At 39.2% G+C, this 27295-nt stretch overlaps 1 protein-coding gene across 20 annotated transcripts in view; it reads left to right on the top strand.

Moving 5' to 3' along the window:
• CFI (complement factor I) overlaps positions 1 to 27295 on the top strand; it is a 71018-nt gene that overhangs the window by 10858 nt on the left and 32865 nt on the right. For 19 of the 20 annotated variants that reach the window (NR_164673.1, NR_164671.1, NR_164672.1 and 16 more), the window contains exons 2-3: positions 24318 to 24588; positions 26452 to 26605. The exons of the other annotated variant lie outside the window; for it this stretch is intronic. Coding sequence is in view for 16 of the 19 variants with exons in the window: in NM_001375282.1 (NP_001362211.1) it covers positions 24318 to 24588; positions 26452 to 26605 (425 nt within the window). In the remaining 3 variants the exon portion in view is untranslated. The remainder of the gene's footprint in view (positions 1 to 24317; positions 24589 to 26451; positions 26606 to 27295) is intronic. 20 annotated transcript variants of the gene reach the window in all.

Below are 27295 nucleotides of genomic sequence, written 5' to 3'. Positions count from 1 at the left end.
AGAATGGCACTATTAAAAAGTCCAAAAAAATAACATGCTGTCGAGGTTGTGGAGAAAAAGGAATGCTTATACACATTTAGTGGTAGTGTAAATTAGCTCAACCATTGTGGAACACAGTGTGGCAATTCCACAAAGACCTAAAAAGAGAAATTCCATTCAACCCAGCAATCCCATTACTGGGTATATACCTAAAGGAGTACAAATTGTTCTATCATAAAGACACATGCACACATATGTTCATTGCGGCACTATTCACAATAGCAAAGACATGGAATCACCTTAAATGCCCATCAATGGTAGACTGGATAAAGAAAATGTGGTACATATACACCATGGAGTACTACTCAGTCCTAAAAGAGAACAAGATCAACAAGATCATGTCTTTTGCAGGAACATGGATGGAGCCAGAGGCCATTTCCTCAGTAAACAAATGCAGAAACAGAAAACCAAATACCACATGTTCTCATTTATAAGTGGAAGCTAAATTATGAGAACACATAGACACATAGAGGGGCCTATCAGACACACTGGGCCTATTAGAAGATGGAGGCTGGGAGGAGGAAGAGCATCAGGAAAAATAACTAATGGTTACTAGGCTTAATACCTGGGTGATACAATAATCTGTACAACAAACCCCCATGACACGAGTTTACCTACATAACAAACCTGCACAAATTTACCTATAAAACAAACCCTGAACTTAAAAGTTTTAAAAAAGAGTAAAGATCTCAAATTGATAATCTAACTTTACAACTTAAGAAGCATATCTTCTTTAGAAAAAGGAAGAGCAAACTAAACCCAAAGCTAGAAGAAAAAATAGAATAAAGATTAGAGTAGAAACAAAAAATATATAGTAAGACAATAGAATCAATGAAATCACAAGTTCGTTCTTTGGAAATAGCCACAAAATTGTCAGACCTTAGCTAAACTGAGAAAGAAAAAAGAGAGAAGATACAAATACCTAAAATCAGAAGTGAAATTGGAGGTATTACTACTGATCTTACAGAAATAAGAATGATAAGAGAATGCTATGAGCAATTATATGCCAGCAAATTAGATAACCTAGAAATATTAATGAATTCCTAGAAACACACAAATCACCAAAACTAATTCAAGAAGAATTAGAAAATCTGAACAGACCTATAGCAAGTAAAAGTATTAAATCAGTAATTTTAAAATTTCCCAAAAAAGAAATATCTGTAACCAGATGGCTTCACTCGTGAATTCTACCAAACATATAAAGAGAATTAACACTAATTTTTCTCAAACACTTTCAAAAGGTAAAGAGGAGGGAACACTTCCTATGCATTCCGCGAGGCCAATAAATTACCATAATAGCAAAATCAAAGATACCACAAGAAAAATTGCAAAACAGAGATGAAGACTATCTTCCCACCAAATCAAAAACTCCCAAAGATTTCCAGTATCCTTAATTTATTTGTATAGATCAGATTTCCCTCTGTGATAATTTTCCTTCTGCTTTTTCTTGTACTGCAGGTATGCTGCTAATTCCTTCAGCTTTTGTGTGTCTAAAAAGGTTGTTCTTTTGCCTAAATTTTTGAATGATATTTTTACTGGGTATAGAATTATAGATTGCCAATTTTCTCTTTCAGTACTTTAAAATTGTTGCTGCATTGTCTTCGCATTTGCATTATTGATGAGAAATGTCATACTTATCTTCGTTTCTCTGTACATAGTGTCTTTTTTCCTTGACTCTTTTGAAGATTTTCTCTTAGTTATTGGTTTCCAAGTAATTTGAGTGTGACATGGTTTGGTGCAATTTCCTTCATGATTCTCCTGCTTGGGGTTCATTCCTCATTTGTTCTCAAATTTGGATAAATTTCAGCCATTATTTCTTCAAATATGTTTTTTGTTCCCTCATTTTGTCCTCTTTTTTGGAGGCTCCAATTACATATGTACTAGGCTACTTGAAGTTGCCCCACAGTTCATTTATACTCTATTCTTTAATTTTTTTATTTTTTAAAATTTTATTGTAGTTTCCATTGATATGTCTTTAAGTTTCCCAGTCTTTTCTTCTGCATATCTGGTTTGGCTTTGGTTCCATCAAGTGTATTGTAGTTTTTATCCCTAGAAGTTCAATTTGGATCCTTTTCATATCATCTGTGTCTTTATTTTTGAACATGTGGAATACAGTTAAAATAACTTTTTAAATCTCCTTGCCTAGTAATGTTAACACCTGTTTTAGAATTCTGGGTAAGTTTCAATTGCCTGTTTTTTCTCCTCATCATGGGTCATATTTTATGACTTCTCTGATGCCTACTATTTTGTATTAAATGTCAAATATTATTAATTTTGCCTTGTTGGATGCTGTTTGTACTGTAATATGTATTTTAAATTTACTTTTTAAATTTTTTACAGATTTGATTATATATCTGAATTTCCATTTAAAAATGTTCACTTTGCATTTTCTTCATAATTCATTATTCCTTTCATTTCATGATTTTTACTAAAAATAATTTTCTTATATGGGGGTGTTTTAAAAGTGTCTGTGCTGTGGGACAAATACACTAAACTTGCCATTAGTTTTGCAATTCATATTCCAGATAAAGTGCTGGTTTCTTTAATATATAAAGAGTTACTACAAAAAACAAGAAAAAATCTATATCACTGAAAGATATGGTTAGGATGTAAAGAAAGAAGTAAAAATCTCTCTTAAAATTTGAGCATACGGAAGATGCTCAACTTCACTCAGAAAAAAATGCAAGTAAAAGTGTGCTGTGGAAACATAATATATACTCTGTAATCAAGAGTATGGAAACTAGATATTCTCATATATTGATGATGGGAATGCAATTTAAAACAACCTCTGTAGAGCAAAATTAGCCAATATCTTTCTGGATATTAAAATTACTCATTCCTTTGATTCAGCAATTTCACTTCCAGGGAAGTATCTGGCAGATATACTTAGCATATGTGAGAAATGATGTGTATTATATAAGGAGATTCATCATAGCATTATTTATAATAGTAAAACATTAGAAACTATCTAACTGCCCTTTGCGGGCTGATTATAGGGCCACTAGTTACAAATGCACTGATGTTGGGGCACAGATTGGAGAGTAACATGGGCTCATGTATACATTCATGATCTCTGGAAAGACTCACAAAGAGCTGTTAAGTGGTTGCCTCTGAAGTGGGGCCTGAGTGGATTGAGAGGATAAGGAAAGGAAGGAAACATAACTTTTACAGGCACATTTTTGAACCTGTTTGAACAATTCTCTCTGTTTCCTATTCAAAAAAATCTATTAAAAATTTAAAAAATAGACAAAATTTTAGCCATCTTACATTCATTATGAAAAAAACAAGACCAGAAAACTAGACAGATGATTTTCTTTTTAATCTCTAAGACAAAAATAATGGAGTTGACCCCAAAACAATATTTCCAGTTTTTTAGAGAGACTAAAAATTAGCACACAAGAAGCCATCCTACCTGACCACAGCATACAGTCATCTTCCCACAATTCCCAACAACATTCTGATTCTGGAAAAAAGATGAATATTTATTTTTAAAATTAAAAAAAAAACAAAAGACCTTATCAAATTTCTTATGTGAATTGGAACAATTCATTGTTAGGTATTACCAGAGAAACATTCTCTCCCTATTTTTTAATCTGAATAGAATGGTTGCTGTTAAGGAGTTTGTGGGGCATCTGTGGCATCACTTTATGTCAAAAGCAGGGCTGCTCCCAGGTACAATGCAAAACGGGCAGCTCCAAGGAGAGAAAAAAGTGGAAGAAAAATTGCTAGTAAAGACCATGATGGGAATAACTAAGGCCACAGGGGGCCTAAAACTCTTTCAATGGAAAGGTTTCTGATGTGGTTGTTAACTCTTGGGATCCAAGTTGCTTATTCACTTCTGGAAGAAAGACAACAGTTATATAGTTGGCTGTTTTTGAAAGTTTTCCAATTGTTTTTCTCAGTGATTTCCAGGGAAATCATCATTGTACCAGTTGGTTAATGCCATAATAATAAAAGCACTACATAATCTCAGTGGTATACAACTTTATTAGGTATACAAGTCTGTAGGTCAGTGGGGAGTCAGCTGGCCTATACTGGGCTCAGAAGGGCTGGTTCTTCTTTTTATGTCTGTGCTAGCCTGGTCATGCTCTTCTCCTAGCTATTCAGAGAAACACAAGGACAAACCCAGTTGCACAAGTACTTTCCAAGCATCTTTCAAAGAACAGGGTAATACACCCTGTGCCCGGTAAAGCATACAGTAAAGAACTAGGGTGAAATGAGGATAGAACAAGGAGGGGCTATAGGCAGTCTACCAAAATCATTATCATATTCACATTTATACAGATCTTCAATGTTTATTTGTGTTTCCCATGTATTTTTCATCTGATCCTCACACTATCTCTGTGTGAACATTATTTTTATTTTCCACATTTTATAGAAGAGGAACAGGATCAGAAGGATAAAGTCACTTATCCAAGATCACACAGCTAATTAGCAATAGAAGGGGAACATTCCAATAGTACCCAGAAGAAAGGGAAAGGGGTGGACTTTTCCTTGCTTTAATCATAACTGATCATGTGTTTTTCTTGTTTATAGGTTAAATATGGAAAAGACAGGCAAAACAGGGCAATGAAGAAACTTGAGGATAAGGCATATAGCTATATACTGGGTTAATAAGGTCTAGAAAAAGGAGGTTGTTTTATTTCTTGTTTGTGTTCTAATGAACGACCATCTAAAATTGTTTCACTGGTCTCCTGCCTAGAGAAAAAAAAGATAAAGTTTACATAAAAATAATTGCTATGTCACTGCAAATACCAAAGAAATAATTTTTAGGCTGGATGTGGTGGCTCATGCCTGTAATCCCAGCATTTTGGGAGGCTGAGGCGAGTGGATTAATGGAGGTCAGGAGTTCGAGACCAGCCTGGCCATTATGGTGAAACAGCATCTCTACTAAAAACACAAAAATTAGCCGGGCATGGTGGCAGGCACTTGTAATCCCAGCTACACAGGAGGTTGAGGCAGAAGAATTGCTTGAACCCAGGAGACAGAAGTTGCAGTGAGCTGAAATTGTCACTGCACTCACTCTCAGAGCTAGACTTTGGTTTTTTTTGTTTTTTTTTTAAAGAATTTTTTAAAAGCCCATTGTATTAGTCCATTTTCATACTGCTATAAAGAACTGCCCAAGACTAGGTAATTTATAAAGGAAAGAGGTTTAATTGACTCACAGTTCAGCATGGCTGGGGAGGCCTCAGGAAACTCACAATCATGATGGAAGATGAAGAGGAAGCAAGGCACCTTCTCACAAAGCGGCAGGAGGAAGTATTAAGTGAAGGAGGAAGAGCCCCTTATGAAACCATCAGGTCTTGTAAGAATTCACTCGCTATTACAAGAACAGCATAGGTGAAACCGCCCCCATGATTTAATTACCTCCACTTGGTCTCTCCCTTGACACAGAATTATGGGGATTATGGGGATTATAATTCAAGATGAGATTTGGGTGGGGACACAAAGCCTAACCATATCACCCATATACACAGAGAAGCAGCAGCAGCTAGAGGAGATGGAATCATGTTTTGTAGATCACCAGGCTGATTAATAATTGTTAAAAAGATTTTGGGGAGGGCGGGTGGAGAGCAAAAAAGTGTGGGTGGGGAGCAAAAATATAAGTAAATAAATTTCTGAATATGTGCTCCTAATATATGTGAATGTATTTATATATAAATAATAAGTGCACTGCTGTACAAAGAAATGCATCTTAAAACAAACAAAATTTTCAACACAAAGATAATATTTTAACAACAATTTTGACTACTACTCTTTCATGGAATAATGCCATTAATCACACTTCATTATTTTTAAAATTTTTCACTTTATTTTAATAACATATTGGCTGGGAAAGATGTCACGTGTGTCTGTGTGAAGAGACCACCAAACAGGCTTTGTGTGAGCAATAAAGCTTTTTAATCACCTGGGTGCAGGCGGGCTGAGTCCGAAAAGAGAGTCAGCAAAGGGTGGTGAGATTATCATTAGTTCTTATAGGTTTGGGACAGACAGTGGAGTTAGGAGCAATTTGTGGGCAGGGGGTGGATCTCACAAAGTACATTCTCAAGGGTGGGGAGAATATTACAAAGTAGCTTCTTGCGGGGGTGAATATCACAAAGTACATTATCGCAAGGGTGGGGAGGGTGTATTGTCATAAGGTCAATTGACCGGTTAGAGTGGGGCAGGAACAGATCACAATGGTGGAATGTCATCTTTTGTGGTTCTTTCAGTTGCTTCAGGCCATCTGGATGTATACGTGCAGGTCACAGGAGATATGATGGCTTAGCTTGGGCTCAGAGGCCTGACAAAAGATACTTGAGAAAGAGCAACATGCACAGTAAATACATAGGAGGAGGTTCATCATTAATGTGTTAGATGTAAGTCTGTATTTCAAGTAGTCTTTTTAGTACTGCTGATGGAGAGAAAGAACTGACTTCTTGTCATATCTGATTAGCTTTTCATTATTTTTTCTTCTCATAATGTGGCTAATGAACAGCTTCTACTGATGCTAGAAGTGTAGACTCTGACATTTTTTGTTTTTCATTGGTGTTGTATTTTGGCATTGTTTTTAATCCAGGATTCATCTATCAACAAGAATCTCTTTAAATCACTTGTCAGTTTGTGAGGATTAATTTAGCTAAAACTAGATCACATAAAATTCCTTAATCAAGCGCATGTATATGATTCTCTATCTTAAAAGAAAAACTCTCCTTTAACCCTATACCCTCCTCCAACTATCACCCCATTTCTCTAAACTGTGCCCCTTCACATCTAAACTCTTAAAAATTTGTTATGCTTATTTCCCTCTTTCTATTCTTTCTTGAATGTAATTAGGCTTGGTTTTCCCCATTCCACTAAAATTACATTTGTCAAAGTCACAATGGGGAAGTATTTAACACAGTTGTTCATCACTTCTTTTTATTTATTTTTTTATTTTTCCATTAGTTATTAGGGTACAGGTGGTATTTGGTTACATGAGCAAGTTCTTTAGTGGTGATTTGTGAGATTTTGGTGCACCCATCACCCGAGCAGTATACACTGCACCATATTTGTAGTCTTTTATCCCTTGCCTCCCTCCCACTCTTCCCTCCAAGTCTCCAAAGTTCATTTTATTATTCTTATGTCTTTGGGTTCTCATAACTTAGCTTCCACATATCAGTGAGAACGTACGATATTTGGTTTTCCATTCCTGAGTTACTTCACTTAGAACAATAGTCTCCAATCTCATCCAGGTCACTGCAAATGCTGTTAATTCATTCCTTTTTATGGCTGAGTAGTATTCCATCATATATATATATATATATATATCACAGTTTCTTTATCCACTCATTGAATGGTGGGCATTTGGATTGGCTCTGCGATTTTGCAATTGTAAATTGTGCGGCCATAAACATGCATGTGCAAGTATCTTTTCAGAATAATAACTTATTTTCCTCTGAGTAGATACCCAGTAGCGGGATTGCTGAATCTGATGGTAGTTCTACTTTTAGTCCTTTAAGGAATCTCCACACTGTTTTCCACAGTGGCTGCACTACTTTACATTCCCACCAGCAGTGTAGAAGTGTTCCCTGATCACCACATCCACACCAACATCTACTATTTTTTTATTTTTTTATTATGGCCATTCTTGCAGGAGTAAGGTGGTATCACATTGTGGTTTTGATTTGCATTTCCCTGGTCATTAGTGATGTTGAGCATTTTTTCATATGTTTGTTGGCCATTTGTATATCTTCTTTTGAAAATTGTCTATCCATGTCCCTAGCCCATTTTTTGATGGGATTGTTTTTTCTTACTGATTTGTATGAGTTCATTGTAGATTATGGATGTTAGTCTTTTTTCAGATGTAAAGATTGTGAAGATTTTCTCACACCCTATGGGTTGTCTGTTTACTCTGCTGACTGTTCCTTTTGCTGTGCAAAGGTTCTTTAGTTTAATTAAGTCCCAGCTATTTATCTTTGTTTTTATTGCATTTGCTTTTGGGTTCTTGGTCATGAAATCCTTGCCTAAGCCTATGTCTAGAAGGGTTTTTCCAATGTTATCTTCTAGAATTTTTATACTTTCAGGTCTTAGGTTTAAGTCCTTAATCCATCTTGAGTTGATTTTTGTATAAGGTGAGAGATGAGAATCCACTTTCATTCTCCTACATGTGGCTAGCCAATTATCCCAGTACCATTTGTTGAAAAGGGTGTCCTTTCGCCACTTTATGTTTTTGCTTGCTTTGTCGAAGATCAGTTGGCTGTAAGTATTTGGGTTTATTTCTGGGTTCTTATTCTGTTTCATTGGTTTATGTGCCTATTTTTATACCAGTACGACACTGTTTTGGTGACTATGGCCTTATAGTATAGTTTGAAATCAGGTAGTGTGATGCTTCCAGATTTGCTCTTTTTGCTTAGTCTTGCTTTGGCTATGTGGGCTCTTTTTTTGGTTCCATATGAATTTTAGAATTTTTTTTTCTAATTCTGTGAAAAGTGATGGTGGTATTTTGGTATTTGGATTGCATTGAATTTGTAGATTTCTTTTGGCGGTATGGGCATTTTCACAATATTGATTCTATCCATCCATGAGCATGGGATGTGTTTCCATTTGTTTTTGTCATCTATGATTTCTTTCAGCACTGTTTTGTAGTTTTCCTTGTAGAAGTTTTTCAACTCCTTGGTTAGGTATATTCCTAAGTATTTTTTTTTTTTTTGCAGCTATTGTAAAAGGGGTTGAGTTCTTGATTTGATTCTGTGCTTGGTCGCTGTTGGTGTATAGAAGAGCTATTGATTTGTGTACATTAATCTTGTATCCAGAAACTTTACTAAATTCTTGTATCAGTTCTAGAGCTTTCTGGAGGAGTCTTTAGGGTTTTCAGGGTAAACAATCATTATGTCAGCAAAAAGTGACCATTTGACTTCCTCTTTACCGGTTTGGATGCCCATAAAGAGAAAGAAATAAAATTATTTCTCTTGTCTGTTTACTCTGGCTAGGACTTCCAATACTGTGTTGAAGAGGAATGGTGAGAGTGGGCATCCTTGTCTTGTTCCAGTTCTCAGAGGGAATGCTTTCAACTTTTCCCCATTCAGTACTATGTTGGCTGTGGGTTTGTCATAGATAGCTTTTATTACATTAAGGTATGCCCCTTGTATGCCGATTTTGCTGAGAGTTTTAATCCTAAAGCGATGTTAGATTTTGTCGAATGCTTTTTCTGCATCTACTGAGGTGATCATGTGACTTTGGTTTTTCATTCTGCTTATGTTGTGTATCACATTTATTGACTTGTGTATGTTAAACCACCCCTGCATCCCTGGTATGAAGCCTACTTGATCATGGTAGATTATCTTTTTGATATGTTGTTCGATTTGGTTAGCTAGTATTTTGTTAAGGATTTTAGCTTCTGTGTTCTTCAAAGATATCAGTCTGTAGTTTTCTTTTTTGGTTATGTCCTTTCCTGGGTTTGGTATAAGGGTGATGCTGGCTTCACAGAATGAATTGGGGAGGGTTCCTTCTTTCTCTATCTTGTGGAATAGTGTCAAAAGGATAGGTACAAATTCTTCTTTGAGTGTCTGGTAGAATTCTGCTGTGAATCTGTCTGGTCCTGGACCTTTTGTTCATTGGTAATTTTTTAATTACCATTTCAATATGGCTGATTGTTATTGGTCTGTTCAGGGTATCTAATTCTTCCTCATTTAAGCTAGAAGGGTTGTATTTTTCCAGGAATTTATCCATCTCTTCTAGTCTAGTTTATGTGCGTAAAGATGTTCATAGTAGCCTTGAATGATCTTTTGTATTTCAGTGGTGTCAGTTGTAGTATCTCCTGTTTCCTTTCTTATCGAGCTTATTTGAATTTTTTTCTCTTCTTTTCTTGGTTAATCTTGCTAATGGTCTATCAATTTTATTTATATTTTTAAAGAACCAGCTTCTTGTTTCATTTATCTTTAACTTTTTTTTCCAATTTCATTGGGTCAAAAAGAAAATCAAGTTGGAAATTTTTTTTTATACTTTAAGTTCTAGGCTGCATGTGCACAACGTGCAGTTTTGTTACATATGTATACATGTGCCATGTTGGTGTGCTGCACACGTTAACTTGTCATGTACATTAGGTATATCTCCTAATGCTATCCCTCCCCGCTCCCCTGACCCCATGACAGGCCCCAGTGTGTGATGTTCCCCACCCTGTGTCCAAGTGTTTTCATTGTTCAATTCCCACCTGTGAGTGAGAACATGCGGTGTTTGGTTTTCTGTCCTTGTGATAGTTTGCTCAGAATGATGGTTTCTAGCTTCATCCATGTCCCTACAAAGGACATGAACTCATCAATTTTTATGGCTGCATAGTATTCCATGGTGTATATGTTCCACGTTTTCTTAATCCAGTCTATCATTGATGGACAGTTGGGTTGATTCCAAGTCTTTGCTATTGTGAATAGTGCCGCAATAAACATACGTGTGCATGTGTCTTTATATCAGCATGATTTATAATTCTTTGGGTATATGCCCAGTAATGGGATGGCTGGGTCAAATGGTATTTCCAGTTCTAGATCTGTGAGGAATCGCCACACTGTCTTCCACAATGGTTGAACTACTTTATAGTCCCACCAACAATGTAAAAGCGTTCCTATTTCTCCATATCCTCTCCAGCACCTGTTGCTTCCTGACTTTTTAATGATCGCCATTCTAACTGGTGTGAGATGGTATCTCATTGTGGTTTTGATTTGCATTTCTCTGATGGCCAGTGATGATGAGCATTTTTTCATGTGTCTGTTGGCTGCATAAATGTCTTCTTTTGAGAAGTGTCTCTTCATATCCTTCGACCACTTTTTGATGGGGTTTTTTTATTTTTTCTTGTAAATTTGTTTGAGTTCTTTGTAGAGTCCAGATATTAGCCTGTCGTCAGATGGGTAGATTGCAAAAATTTTCTCCCATTCTGTAGGTTGCCTGTTCACTCTGATGGTAGTTTCTTTTCCTGTGCAGAAGCTCTTTAATTTAATTAGATCCCATTTGTCAATTTTGGCTTTTGTTGCCATTGCTTTTTGGTGTTTTAGTCATGAAGTCCTTGCCCATGCCTATGGCCTGAATGGTGTTGCCTGCGTTTTCTTCTAGGGTTTTTATGGTTTTAGGTCTAACATTTAAATCTTTAATCCATCTTGAATTAATTTTTTATAAGGTGTAAATATACACCTTATAAGGAAGGGATCCAGTTTCAGCTTTCTACTTATGGCTAGCCAGTTTTCCCAGCACCATTTATTAAATAGGGAATCCTTTCCCCATTTCTTGTTGTCAGGTTTGTCAAAGATCAGATGGTTGTTGATGTGTAGTATTATTTCTGAGGCCTCTGTTCTGTTGGATTGGTCTATGTCTCTGTTTTGGTACCAGTACTGTGCTGTTTTGGTTACTGTAGACTTGTAGTATAGTTTGAAGTCAGGTCACATGATGCCTCCAGCTTTCTTCTTTTGGCTTAGGATTGTCTTGGCAATGTGGGCTCTTTTTTGGTTCCATATGAACTTTAAAGTAGTTTTTTCCAATTCTGTGAAGAAAGTCATTGGTAGCTTGATGGGGATGGCATTGAATCTATAAATTACCTTGGGTAGTATGGCCATTTTCACAATATTGATTCTTCCTCTCCATGAGCATGGAATGTTCCTCCATTTGTTTTTGTCCTCTTTTATTTCGTTGAGCAGTGGTTTGTAGTTCTCCTTGAAGAGGTCCTTGACATCCCTTGTAAGTTGGATTCCTAGGTATTTTATTCTCTTTGAAGCAATTGTGAATGGGAGTTCACTCATGATTTGGCTCTCTGTGCGTCTGTTCTTGGTGTATAGGAATGCTGGTGATTTTTGCACATTGATTTTGTATCCTGAGACTTTGCTGAAATTGCTTATCAGCTTAAGGAGATTTCGGGCTGAGACGATGGGGTTTTCTAAATATACAATCATGTCATCTGCAAACAGGGACAATTTGACTTACTCTTTTCCTAATTGAATACCCTTTATTTCTTTCTCTTGCCTGATTGCCCTGTTCAGAACTTCCAACACTATGTTGAATAGGAGTGGTGAGAGAGGGCATCCCTGTCTTGTGCCAGTTTTCAAAGGGAATGCTTCCAGTTTTTGCTCATTCAGTATGATATTGGCTGTGGGTTTGTCATAAATAGCTCTTATTATTTTGAGATACGTCCCATCAATACCTAGTTTATTGAGAGTTTTTATCATGAAGGGCTGTTGAATTTTGTCGAAGGCCTTTTCTGCATCTATTGAGATAATCATGTAGTTTTTTGTCTTTGGTTCTGTTTATATGATGGATTACGTTTATTGATTTGCATATGTTAAACCAGCCTTGCATCCCAGGGATGAAGCCAACTTGATCATAATGGATAAGCTTTTTGATGTGCTGCTGGATTCGGTTTGCCAGTATTTTATTGAGGATTTTTGCATCAGTATTCCTCAGGGATATTGGTCTAAGATTCTTTTTTTTTGTTGTGTCTCTGCCAGGCTTTGGTATCAGGATGATGTTGGCCTCATAAAATGAATTAGGGAGGATTCCCTCTTTTTCTATTGATTAGAATAGTTTCAGAAGGAATGGTACCAGCTCTTCTTTGTACCTCTGGTAGAATTTGGCTGTGAATCTGTCTGGTCCTGGACTCTTTTTGGTTGGTAGGCTATTAATTATTGCCTCAATTTCAGAACCTCTTATTGGTCTATTCAGGGATTCAACCTCTTTGTAGTTTAGTCTTGGGAGGGTGTATGTGTCCAGGAATTTATCCATTTCTTCTAGATTTTCTAGTTTATTTGCATAGAGGTGTTTATAGTATTCTCTGATGGTAGTTTGTATTTCTGTGGGATCGGTGGTGATATCCCCTTTATCATTTTTTATTGCATCTATTTGATTCTTCTCTTTTCTTCTTTATTAGTCTTGCTAGCAGTCTAGCAATTTTGTTGATCTTTTCAAAAAACCATCTCCTGGATTCATTGATTTTTTGAAGGGTTTTTTGTGTCCGTATCTCCTTCAGTTCTGCTCTGATCTTAGTTATTTCTTGCCTTCTGCTAGCTTTTGAATGTGTTTGCTCTTGCTTCTCTAGTTCTTTTAATTGTGATTTTAGGGTGTCAATTTTAGATCTTTCCTGCTTTCTCTTGTGGGCATTTAGTGCTATAAATTTCGCTCTACACACTGCTTTAAATGTGTCCCAGAGATTCTGGTATGTTGTGTCTTTGTTCTCATTGGTTTCAAAGAACATCTTTATTTCTGCCTTCATTTCGTTATGTACCCAGTAGTCATTCGGGAGCAGGTTGTTCAGTTTCCGTGTAGTTGAGTGGTTTTGAGTGAGTTTCTTAATCCTGAGTTCTAGTTTGATTGCACTGTGGTCTGAGAGACAGTTTGTTATAATTTCTGTTCTTTTACATTTGCTGAGGAGTGCTTTACTTCCAACTATGTGGTCAGTTTTGGAATAAGTGTGATGTGGTGCTGAGAAGAATGTATATTCTGTTGATTTGGTATGGAGAGTTCTGTCGATGTCTATTAGGTCTGCTTGGTGCAGAGCTGAGTTCAATTCCTGGATATCCTTGTTAACTTTCTGTCTCATTGATCTGTCTAATGTTGACAGTGGGGTGTTAAAGTCTCCCATTATTATTGTGTGGGAGTCTAAGTCTCTTTGTAGGTCTCTAAGGACTTGCTTTATGAATCTGGGTGTTCCTGTATTGGGTACATATATATTCAGGATAGTTAGCTCTTCTTGTTGAATCGATCCCTTTACCAATATGTAATGACTTTCTTTGTCTCTTTTGATCTTTGTTGGTTTAAAGTCTGTTTTATCCGAGACTAGGATTGCAACCCCTGCCTTTTTGTTTTGTTTTGTTTTCCATTTTCTTGGTAGATCTTCCTCCATCCCTTTATTTTGAGCCTATGTGTGTCTCTGCACACATAGATGCGTTTCCCGAATACAGCACACTGATGGGTCTTGACTCTTTATCCAATTTGCCAGTCTGTGTCTTTTAATTCGAGCATTTAGCCCATTTACCTTTAAGGTTAGTATTGTTATGTGTGAATCTGATCCTGTCATTATGATGTTAGCTGGTTATTTTGCTCGTTAGTTGATGCAGTTTCTTCCTAGCCTTGATGGTCTTTACAATTTGGCATGTTTTTGCAGTGGCTGGTACTGGTTGTTCCTTTCCATGTTTAGTGTTTCCTTCAGGAGCTCTTGTAAGGCAGGCCTGATGGTGACAAAATCTCTCAGCATTTGTTTGTCTGTAAAGGATTTTATTTCTCCTTCACTTATGAAGCTTAGTTTGTCTTGATATGAAATTCTGGGTTGAAAATTCTTTTCTTTAAGAATGTTGAATATTGGCTCCCACTCTCTTCTGGCTTGTAGAGTTTCTGCGGAGAGATCCGCTGTTAGTCTGATGGGCTTCCCTTTGTGGGTAACCCCACCTTTCTCTCTGGCTGCCCTTAATATTTTTTCCTTCATTTCAACTTTGGTGAATCTGACAATTATATGTCTTGCTGTTGCTCTTCTCGAGGAGTATCTTTGTGGCATTCTCTGTATTTCCTGAATTTGAATGTTGGCCTGCCTTGCTAGGTTGGGGAAGTTCTCCTGGGTAATATCCTGAAGAGTGTTTTCCAGCTTGGTTCCATTCTCCTCGTCACTTTCAGGTACATCAATCAGATGTAGATTTGTTCTTTTCACATAGTCCCATATTTCTTGGAGGCTTTGTTCATTTCTTTTTACTCTTTTTTCTCTAAACGTCTCTTCTCGCTTCATTTCATTCATTTGATCTTCAATCATTGATACCCTTTCTTCCACTTGATCAAATTGGCTACTGAAGCTTGTGCATGCATCAAATAGTTCTTGTGCCATGGTTTTCAGCTCCATCAGGTCATTTAAGGACTTCTCTACACTGGTTATTCTAGTTAGCCATTCATCTAATCTTTTTTCAAGGTTTTTAGCTTCTTTGCGATGGGTTCGAACATCCTCCTTTAGCTTGGAGAAGTTTGTTATTACTGATTGTCTGAAGCCTTCTTCTCTCAACTTGTCAAAATCATTCTCCATCCAGCTTTGTTCCGTTGCTGGCAAGGAGAAGAGGTGCTCTGATTTTTAGAATTTTCAGCTTTTCTTCTCTGGTTTCTCCCCATCTTTGTGGTTTTATCTGCCTTTGGTCTTTGATGATGGTGACGTACAGATGGGGTTTTGGTGTGGATGTCCTTGTTTGTTAGTTTTCCTTCTAACAGTCAGGACCCTCAGCTGCAGGTGTGTTGGAGTTTGCTGGAGGTCCACTACAGACCCTGTTTGCCTGGGTATCACCAGTGGAGGCTACAGACCAGCAAATATTTCAGAACAGCAAATGTTGCTTCCTCTGGAAGCTTCGTCTCAGAGGGGCACTCGGCTGTATGAGGTGTCAGTCAGCTCCTACTGGGAGGTGTCTCCCATTTAGGCTACTCGGGGGTCATGAACCCACTTGAGGCAGTCTGTCCATTCTCAGATCTCAAACTCCATGCTGGGAGAACCACTACTCTCTTCAAAGCTGTCAGACAGGGACATTTAAGTCTGCAGAAGTTTCTGCTGCCTTTTGTTCAGCTATGCCCTGCCCCCAGAGGTGGAGTCTACAGAGGCAGGCAGGCCTCCTTGAGCTGTGGTGGGCTCCACCCAGTTAGAGCTTCCAGGATGCTTTGTTTACCTACTCAAGCCTCAGCAATGGCAGACGCCCCTCCCCCAGCCTTGCTGCCACCTTGCAGTTTGATCTCAGACTGCTGTGCTAGCAATGAGTGGGGCTCCGTGGGTGTGGGACCCTCCGAGCCAGGCACGGGATATAATCTCCTGGTGTGCCGTTTGCTTAGGCCATTGGAAAAGTGCAGCATTAGGGTGGGAGTGTCCCAATTTTCCAGGTACCATCTGTCACTGCTTCCCTTTGCTGGAAAAGGGAATTCCCTGACCCCTTGCACTTCCCGGGTGAGGCGATGCCCCACCCTGCTCCATGGGCTGTACCCACTGTCTGACAAGCCCCAGTGAGATGAACTTGGTACCTTAGTTGGAAATGCAGAAATCACCCGTCTTCTGCGTCGCTCACACTGGGAGCTGCAGACTGGAGCTGTTCCTATTTGGCCATATTGGAACCTCCTCAAGTTGGAAATTTAAAAATTCTTTGAACTGAATGACAATAATGACACAACCCACCAAAACCTCTGGGATACAGGAAAGGCAGTGCTAAGAAGAAAGTTCATAACCCTAAATGCCTACATCAAAAAGACTGAAAGAGCACAAATTGACATTCTAAGATCACACCTCAAGGAACTAGAGAAATAAGAACAAACTATATGCAAACCCAGCAGAAGAAAGGAAGTAACCAAGATCAGAGCAGAACTAAATGAAACTGTCATTCCTTTTTTATTGCTTTTGTGCCATCTGCAATTTATTTGCCTTTTGCTTCACTGACCACATATTCTCAGTCTCCTTTACTAGTTCTGCAGCATCTGCTCAACCTCTACACACTGGAGGGTTTACACCCTCCAAGGGCTTTATGATTCATTCAGAGTATAAGCCAGTCTTTACAGTAGCCAACAGGTTCCTACAAGATCTGTCACCCACTCCTCCAATTCTGTGACCTGATCTCCTCCTATTCCCCCTGTTACTTATTCCCATCCACCCACACTGGCCCCTTTGACCAAGAATGTACCACATACACTTCCCCAGAGCTCTTGCCCTTGCTATCTCCTCTGACCATGATACATCACCCCTAGAGAGCTGCATAGCTTGCTCCCTCACCTTCAGGTTCCTAGTCCAAGGGAAGGTTTTCTCCAAAATCTTCTCTGACAACCCTATAAAAACAGCAATTCTCCCCTCACTCTCCATATTCTGTATCTTTCTTACCCTACATAGCATTTATCACCTTATGTCATCTTATATATTTACTGTTTATTCATTTTTGTCTGTCTTGCCTACTAGAATGTAAACTCTATGACTTTGTCCTGCTCACTCTTGTATCTCCAGGACTTACAACAGTGACTGGCCATAGTAGGCTCTCAATAAATATTGTATGAATATAGGCCCAAGTGATAATCTATGTTTAAATATTAGTAAAGATTTTTTTCTTACTACTTTCTAAATAAAACATATAAATCAATAAAATTTCTGATATTTTTTCCACATTCCACTGATTCTTTCATATATCCCAAGATGTGAATAAGCCACTTTGGAAATTACTGGGCTACAATAGTGGTTTTCAGTTTTGGGGACACATAAGAATATTTATGGAGCTTGTTTACAGTGCAGAATCCAAGATCTGTCCCAGAGATTCCGATTAAGAAGGTCTATTGTTCGGGTCCAAAAATCTGCATTTGTAGGATGATGCGCCTCAGGTGGTTTTGGTGCAACTAGTCTGGGGCCACAGTCAGGAATACCTGATCCATGTGTTTGATAGTCTCCTATTTCAGCTCTTAACAGCCAACCCAGTAAAAATGAGAAAAAACTTATTTAACATACCTCCCACCCACAGAATGATTTAAGTCCCATACTCCCTACACCAGTAGTTCTCGAGGGTTTGAATTATAAAGAGTGTATCATCCATATAGGCTATGTTGTGCACCAGTAAGAACCAATCCCCAACTCTCAGTGGCTAAAACACAACAATTTATGTTTGTTTGTTTTTGAGACGGAATCTTACTCTGTCGCCAGGCTGGAGTGCAGTGGCGCGATCTCGGCTCACTGCAACCTCTGCCTCCCAGGTTCAAGCGATTCTCCTGCCTCAGCCTCCTGAGTAGCTGGGATTACATGCACACGCCACCATGCCCCGCTAATTTTTGTATTTTTAGTAGAGACCATGTTGGCCAGGATGGTCTCTATCTCCTGACTTTGTGATCCACCTGCCTCAGCCTCCCAAAGTGCTGGGATTACAGGCGTAAGCCACTGCGCCTGGCAAAAGTTTATGTTTTGTTCATGCAAAGCCTACTGTGGGTCTGGGTGACTCTGTAGGGAACCCATGTTACATGTGTTGGCCCTGCATTCTAGGCTACTTTGATTCTATGGTATCGCTACAATTTGTGTTCCCATGATCACATGACACAGGAAGAGAAAGTTGGGTTGTTGAGCACTGGCAATTAAATGCTTCTCTCTGAACCCAACAAATTATTTCAGCTTACATTTCACTGGCCAAAGGAAATCACCATGCCCAACCTCAAGGGGAAAATGCAATCTTTCTATTTTCCCAGAAGTAGAGGAAAATACGATTTTAGTAAGCAGTATTAATGTTTACCACAAAACTAAACATTAAAAGACTCTCAGGTTAGGCAGGGTGGCACACATCTGTAATCCCAGCATGTTGGGAGGCTGAGATGGGAGGATTGTTTAAGGCCAAGAGTTTAAGACCAGCCTGGGCAACATAGTGAGGCCCCATCTCTACAAAAATATTTTTAAAATAAAAATTAACTGGGCATGGTAGCATGTGTCTGTCCTAGCTACTCAGGAGACTGAGGCAGGATGATCACTTGAGCCTATGAGTTTAGGATTACAGTGAGCTGTGATCATACCACTGCACTCCAGCTTAGGCAACACAGTGAGACTCTGTCTCAAGAAAAAAAAAAAACGATCAAATTCACCACTCCATCTTATACCACCAAAAACACACATAATAGTAGTTGTTATTTTAATCTGTTATTCTGGGAGACACAGAAATGACAGTAACTATAGTTTCAATGGTGATTTAAATAATTTTTCTTATTAACCATAATAGCATTTACATATATTCAAAACACAGGTGTACATAGACATATGAGGCATACTCACATCGTTTATATTTTGTCTTCAGGCAAAGCCTGGTGTACACATGCATTTACAAACCTCTTTAATAACATCCTCAAAGATCATCAGCTCATATTTTGGCAACCACTGTTCTAGACGTTGAGATACATGTGACTTACCAATTCTTTTAAATTAAAGCTACTGTCATCACGTTTTAGACAGTGTATAAATAAACCATATTCTTACTATGCCCAGCTATTTTTCAACAGTGATTTTCTGTCTCTCCGTTGATTAATGTTGCCCTTGTTAACAGCCACTGTGTTCGTGTTATCCTTTACCATCCATCTGAAATTTAAAATGGTAATGTTATCATAAAGTTGCTTCCAATTTACAATAGGAAATTATAAGTATAGCAAACTGCTTAATTTCTAAGGTGAACTTCACCGTGCTCTGATTGCTTCTCCTATCCCCTCCTCAACCTTGTTTCAACAATTTCCCCCTCTCTCTCCTTCTTGAAAATGCAATCTCTCCTGTTTTGTTAAATTCCTCCCCTTAGCCTATAACCATGATGAAATCCCTTTTATCCTAATGAAAACAAAAATCTCTCTTTACTCCGTGGCCCTTTATGCTACTATCCCATCAAATGTTCTCCTGCTTCAGAGCCTAGCACTTAATCTTCTACTTTTTTTTTTTTTTTTTTTTTTTTTTTTTTGGTGATGGAGTCTTGCTGTGTTGCCCAGGCTGGAGTGCACTGGTGCGATCTCGGCTCACTGCAACCTCCACCTCCTTGGTTCAAGCAATTCCCCTGCCTCAGCCTCCTGAGTAGCTGGGATTACAGGCACACACCACTACGCCCGGCTAATTTTTTTTTTTTTTGTATTTTTAGTAGAGATGGGGTTTCATCATGTTGGCCAGAATGGTCTCAAACTGCTGACCTCAGGCAATCTGCCTGCCTCAGCATCCCAAAGTGCTGGGATTATAGGCATGAGCCACTGTGCACAGCCTGCCTAGCTGATTTTTTTTTTTATTTTTAGTAGAGATGGGGTTTCATCATGTTGGCCAGAATGGTCTCGAACTGCTGACCTCAGGCAATCTGCCTGCCTCAGCATCCCAAAGTGCTGGGATGATAGGCATGAGCCACCATGCACAGCCTGCCTGGCTAATTTTTTTTATTTATTTTTTATTTTTTTTGTATTTTGAGTAGAGTTGGGGTTTCACCATGCTGGCCTGGCTGGTCTCGAACTCCTGACCTCATGATCCGCTGGCCTCAGCCTCCCAAAGTGCTGGGATTACAGGAATGAGCCACTGCGCCTGGCCCTAATCTTCTACTTCCCTACTGAAAGCATAAGGACATCAGATCTTACTTAAAATGAAAAGCACTCCTATCACCCGTCTCCCACCCCTAACTCTCTCTCCAGGGGCAAGCACTTTCAAATCTTTGCTGTTTCTTCTGCTGTTTACAACAGATTCCTCAGTAACATGTTCATACAACCATCTCTTTCAACCAGTTCCCTGTTTGTTAGCCACTCCTTCTTCAGAGGTACTAGGTCCCCCAGTTCCTAAGCTTTTCTGGGGTTCTGTGGGGCTTAGCTTTCAGTTCTCCTTGATCTGCTAAATCCATTAGCACTAGCCCATCTGTTTTCCAGCTTCCAACATTTTGATATCTTATATCCTGCAGTCCTCTCCCCACTCTCTTTGACCTTATGGTTTATGCCCTTTAAAAAAATTCCTGTATTCTCAATTTAACAGAGCTTGGAGAGGAGACAGAGACTTTCTTTTTTTTTTTTTTTTTTCTGGTCTGTGTTCATATTTTCATGTCTAAATGGCAAAACCAGTAAAGCGGTTTCTTTTTTTTTCTTTTTTTTTTTTTAGAGATGGAGTCTCGCTCTGTCATCCAGGTTGGAGTGCAGTGGTGCGGTCTCCGCTCACTGCAAACTCCACCTCCCGGGTTCAAGTGATTCTCCTACCTCAGCCTCCTGAGGAGCTGGGATTACAGGTGCCATCATGCCTGGCTAATTTTTGTATTTTTAGTAGAGATGGGGTTTTGCCATGTTAGCCAGGTTGGTCTCAAACTCCCGACCTCAACTGATCCTCCCACCTCAGCCTCCCAAAGTGCTGGGATTACAGGCGTGAGCCACTGTGCCTAGTCAAAACCAGTCAAGCTTCTACTTCCACTTCCTCACCTCCCATTCCAGCCTCAACTCACCAATGTGTGGTTTCCCATTTCCTTAAAGTTTCAGTTTAATTACATGCCACTTAGCATAAGTGACTCCATTTTGGTTTGGTCTTTGGGGCTTGGTGCAGGAGTACAGTTTAAAAAAATGGCTTCCCGTAATTTTATGTAACAGAGTGAGGTAGCGTTTTCCCTTCCATCTCCCACCTGCACCCCAGGCAAAGAGGATGGAAGGTGCTGCCGCTTCTCTTCATTGTGAAAGGGCTTCCCACAGGTTCCCTTGGAGTGCTTGACATGTGTTCCCTGAAGTCTGAGGAGAAAAAAGAACTAGTACTTGACCCATACCTGAAAGGAATAAGGACCCAAGGCTGGAGGTGCCTGGTGGCAGAGATAAAAGAGGTGGCTGTGTTGGAGCAAGCCCTGTTTCAATGGTAGGCAGCAGGGCAGGCAACAGACAGGTGTGGGTCCTCAGGAGGGAAACAGGACTCCTGCCCAAGAGGCTCCCTGCCAAAGGTAAGCAACCTCAGCAGAAACGGGCTAGTACTGTTGGATACTGGAGCTGAGAAGACATGGACCATGAGCAGCCAGCTGGAGGAGAGGTACTGCCAGCATTGAGTGAATTGACATCAAATGTCCCCAGTAGTGCAATCTCTAGAGAACCTCATAGTACCCCGCATGAGAGAGTTGGCTCTAACCCCCACCTTGCCAAGGCTAGTTCTCAGCCGTAAGAATCAGGTGAGACCCGGCTGCTGTCCCTCTCTTCCTCTCCTGAGAGGTGGAAAGCATGACCTGAAAGCTGTGGAATGGAGGAGAGCTCAGAAAGGACCCATCACACACCCTGGAAGCAAGTCTGAGCTGAGAGGAAGGAGAGGCTTTCATCTGACATGAAGGTCAGAGCTTCAGTGGTTCCACAGCACTAGACATTGTCATTGCTATTTAGTGACTATTCCTGGAACTAAACATCCTTTAATTTTTTGTTTTTGTTTAAATCTAAGAGTGACTGAGAAAGTTATGACACTTGCCAAAGTTTCTATCCAAAGATCAAGGAGGAATGAGATTTCAGAAATGATTTAAAGGAATAAAGGTAGAAAAAAATCAAGTTGCTTGGATTTCTCATCCAATGAGAGCATCATTGTTTCAATATAAAGGTGATAAATAAAACCTGCTGTCAGGACACTTGCAAGCTGGTCAGTGGAAGATACAGGAGAGAAATTATTACAAAAATTCCAACTCTAATAAGTGCCAAAAAGAGATACGTGGAACCATGAAAAGTGCGTAACTGGCATATTTCATTCTAGATCACTGTGTCAAAAGCCAGTTTCCAGAATGACCAATTTGTCATTTGTGTGTGTGTGTGTGTAAAGCTATTTGTACAGTTTATTGAAAAGCAAATTATGGAGAATGACTTTGACAATCCTTGCAAGGTTTTGCATGGTTTTAATTAGCTTATTTGCCTTCTTAACGGCATTTAAAGACTATGATTTTTGTCTGCCCCAGCTTGATGCTTCACAGCTACAGGGCACTGAGGAAGGAGCGGGGCTCACTGCGGGCAGCAGGGGAGACTAGAGGACAGGAGGCGCATCCTCAGGAGGAAGCTCTGGGGGACAGGGAGACAGCATTGGCTTTTCTTCGCAGATTGGCTTTTGGCCCAATTGGCCTGTTCCCAGCCCTCATATTATTTCTACTGGAGTCCTGCAGGGTAATAATAGCTCTCATTAATTTTATGCCTAGTACCTGTCAACCATTACAAACATAGTATTTCTAATCTTGCAAAATAGGAGATATTATCTCATTTTACGATGAGGAAATTCACGTTTCAGGAGGGTCACTTGCCCTGCATCATGTAACAGTAAGTGCCAAAACTGGGTCTAGAAGCCAGGTTTGTCTGATTCTTTTTTTCTTTTTTTTTTTTTTTTTTTAGGATTTCTTCATGGTCAAGATGGCAGTCATACCATTCTTTTTTTTTTTTTTTTTTGTACTTTAAGTTTTAGGTGCATGTGCACAATGTGCAGGTTAGTTACATATGCATACACGTGCCATGTTGGTGTGCTGCACCCAGTAACTCGTCATTTAACATTAGGTATATCTCCAAATGCTATCCTTCCCCCCTCCCCCCACCCCACAACAGGCCCCAGTGTGTGATGTTCCCCTTCCTGTGTCCATGTGTTCTCATTGTTCAATTCCCACCTATGAGTGAGACGATGTGGTGTTTGGTTTTTTGTCCTTGCAATAGTTTGCTGAGAATGATGGTTTCCAGCTTCATCCATGTCCCTACAAAGGACATGAACTCATCATTTTTTATGGCTGCATAGTATTCCATGGTGTATATATGCCACATTTTCTTAATCTGGTCTATCATTGATGGACATTTGGGTTGGTTCCAAGTCTTTGCTATTGTGAATAGTGCCGCAATAAACATACGTGTGCATGTGTCTTTATAGCAGCATGATTTATAATCCTTTGGGTATATGCCCAGTAATGGGATGGCTGGGTCAAATGGTATTTCTAGTTCTAGATCCCTGAGGAATCGCCACACTGACTTCCACAATGGTTGAACTAGTTTACAGTCCCACCAACAGTGTAAAAGTGTTCCTATTGCTCCACATCCTCTCCAGCACCTGTTATTTCCCGACTTTTTAATGATCGCCATTCTAACTGGTGTGAGATGGTATCTCATTGTGGTTTTGATTTGCATTTCTCTGATGGCCAGTGATGATGAGCATTTTTTCATGTGTCTTTTGGCTGCATAAATGTCTTCTTTTGAGAAATGTCTGTTCATATCCTTTGCCCACTTTTTGATGGGGTTGTTTGTTTTTTTCTTGTAAATTTGTTTGAGTTCATTGTAGATTCTGGATATTAGCCCTTTGTCAGATGAGTAGATTGCAAAAATTTTCTCCCATTCTGTGGGTTGCCTATTCACTCTGATGGTGGTTTCTTTTGCTGTGCAGAAGCTCTTTAGTTTAATTAGATCCCATTTGTCAATTTTGGCTTTTGTTGCCATTGCTTTTGGTATTTTAGACATGAAGTCCTTGCCCATGCCTATGTCCTGAATGGTATTGCCTAGGTTTTCTTCTAGGGTTTTTATGGTTTTAGGTCTAACATGTAAGTCTTTAATCCATCTTGAATTAATTTCTGTATAAGGTGTAAGGAAGGGATCCAGTTTCAGCTTTCTCCATATGTCTAGCCAGTTTTCCCAGCACCATTTATCAAATAGGGAATCCTTTCCCCATTTCTTGTTTTTGTCAAGTTTGTCAAAGATCAGATGGTTGTAGATATGCGGCATTATTTCTGATTCTTGAAGCCACCAGACAACACCATCCTCATCTGTACTGTGGGCTGTATCTGTTTTGCTCTTTTCCTTCACTTACTCATCTTCAAACAGGAGTCTTTAATTTGTTGCTAAGTTAATGTTTATTTTGCATTTTACAGGTCACTTATACATCTCAAGAGGATCTGGTGGAGAAAAAGTGCTTAGCAAAAAAATATACTCACCTCTCCTGCGATAAAGTCTTCTGCCAGCCATGGCAGAGATGCATTGAGGGCACCTGTGTTTGTAAACTACCGTATCAGTGCCCAAAGAATGGCACTGCAGTGTGTGCAACTAACAGGAGAAGCTTCCCAACATACTGTCAACAAAAGAGTTTGGAATGTCTTCATCCAGGGACAAAGTTTTTAAATAACGGAACATGCACAGCCGAAGGTAGCAAGAGACTAGTTTTCAAGTCATTCTATGATATAAAAGGGTATTTGTATGCCATACTTTCTATCAGAAAATAATTCTCTTGTGTATGTTATGATGACAACTCAAAATTTTTTTCTAGACTCTCAATAATAATTGGAGTAATCACTAAACAAATCAGGGGTTGCCAGAATCCAGCCAGCCTTTGAGTGCAGAGCGTGGGATGCTGAGTCCAGACCTTCCTTCAGTGCCGGTGCCACTCCCTGCTGCCCAGCCCTTTAGAATTGTCCCCACCCTCACTTCTACTTGGTTAAAGGGATTATTCCCAGGGCCATTGAGTTGGTTCAGAACCCAGTGAAAAGTCTTCCAGTAAGGTTGGTACTCACATGTAGTCTAGTCAGGCCTCAGGTCCTCCTGTGGCCCCAGTAATTTCTGTTTTTGTTTGTTTTGTTTTTTTGAGACGGAGTCTGGCTCTGTTGCCCAGGCTGGAGTGCAGTGGTGTGATCTTGGCTCATTCCAACCTCTGCCTCCCGGGTTCATGCCATTCTCCTGCCTCAGCCTCCTGAGTAGCTGGGACTACAGGTGCCTGCCACCATGCCCAGCTAATTTTTTGTGTTTTTAGTAGAGATGGAGTTTCACCGTGTTAGCCAGGATGGTCTCGATCTCCTGACCTTGTGATCCGCCCGCCTCGGCCTCCCAAAGTGCTGGGATTACAGGCATGAGCCACCATGCGTGGCCTACCCCAATAATTTCTTTCAACAGCCGTCCCCCCCAACCCTCTCCCCCAGCCCTGACCCCATTGTTCCTAAATATCCAAGGGCCGCTTGAGCCACTGCTGACCTGGGACATACTCCAACCTAGCAAACCCAGACGTCAGACCCAGAGATCTTGTCTACAGTCCCTTCCAGGTGCTTCATGTGCTGAGGAGGCTGGGGCCCTAGCATTCAGACTAGTGGGTAGTTATGATTAGGGATTTCGCTGTCAGTCCAATTGAGTTTCAAGTCCCTCCAAACCCCACCTTGGTTGTTGACAAGCTGGACCTCACTGGACCCCAGTTCCCTCATCTGTAAAATGTGAAGTTTCTAAGTTGTACAATTCTTGTGAAAATTAAATAAAACAATGTATGCAGGGCTCTTCACACAGTGCTTGGCATGCAGAAAGTGCTTGTTACATTTTATGTCTGACAGCAAAGCTTAGGTTCATTGTCTTCTGATAGCAAGTTATTACAGACACTTCATTACCTAAGGAATGCTTAAAACATTCTTTTTAAAGGCACCATGACATATATCAGCTCACAGCAGCCTGTATGTTTTTGAGATGCTGAGTTAAGATGTTGAGATACTGTGGAAAAGGAGGGGAAAAGCTCCCTGTTTGAGCTCATCTATCATCCCTGTTGGAAAGGCAGAAGGCAATAGTGGAGGTTATTTCATCAGTGTCAGACTTTTCTTCTCTTGAGGCATTAAATGCCTTAAATACACGAGAATACATAAACCCTTTCTACATTTTACATTTTCACGGTTGGGCTTACTTTTGAGAGCATGGACTTTGGAGTGAGATCAACTGAGCAAGTTCCAAATCCTGGCTTCATCACTTGGGCCAGGAACTTAACTTCCCCTAGAGGTTCCTTGTGTAAAAATGGGAATAAATAGGCTTTATCCTCATAGGGTTGATGTGAGTATTTAATGATCCTCTATACAGCTGAATAGCACTGCCGCTGACACATAATAAATACTCGTAAAATGATTGCTTACTATTACTTGTTAAAATCGTCATGATGTTCAAAGCTCACTTGACATTAAGTACATTATTATTTTTAAAGACTTTTAATTAAGAGAAAAAAGTGAATGGCTACATATTGCACATTATTTTGTTTTTTTATTTTAGGAAAGTTTAGTGTTTCCTTGAAGCATGGAAATACAGATTCAGAGGGAATAGTTGAAGTAAAACTTGTGGACCAAGATAAGACAATGTTCATATGCAAAAGCAGCTGGAGCATGAGGGAAGCCAACGTGGCCTGCCTTGACCTTGGGTTTCAACAGTGAGCGCTTGTATCAGTGGATTTTCTCATGGCTGATTTAATTGTTCTGTTTGCTTTTTGATTACCTAACCTTTCTGTGTATTAATTTCCATATGTGTAACCTAAGAAAATTAACTATGTGCATCATAGCATTGTTATGAGGATGATATGCATTCATGTTTACCCAACACTTGGAACCCTGCTGACAACAAAGCATGGATAATAAGTCTGTTGAAGTATCTGGATGTGAATCCTTTAGTGATTCTGAGAGTCACAAACACATTCATTTCTGTCTGTCTCCTACTCGTCTACAATTATGTACACTTTTTCACACTTAGTATAGTTTATATACTGTGTGTGAGTATAGTTTATAGTTATATAATATAGTTTATACTATAAACTATACAGTGAGTATAAACTATACAGTTATAGTATAAACTATATAGTTAGGATAAATTATAGTTTATAGTTTTATAGTATAGTTTACTATAATTATAGTATATAAGTATATATACTATGAGTATAGTGTACAAACTATAATTTATATATAGCTTATATACTATAATTATAGTATATATACTTATATATAAGTGATATTTTATTTATTGTTTGGTTCAGAATATCTTCTAACTTTCAATATAATTTCTTCTTTGCCCCATATGTAATTTAGAAGTTTTCTTTATTATAATATTAGTTTTAATTAATACGTTA

This window comes from Homo sapiens, chromosome 4, assembly GCF_000001405.40.
Source record: "Homo sapiens chromosome 4, GRCh38.p14 Primary Assembly".
In the NCBI taxonomy this organism is placed as follows: Eukaryota; Metazoa; Chordata; class Mammalia; order Primates; family Hominidae; genus Homo; species Homo sapiens.
Note: the sequence above shows the minus strand (reverse complement) of the source record. Positions and strands in the feature narration are given on the sequence as shown.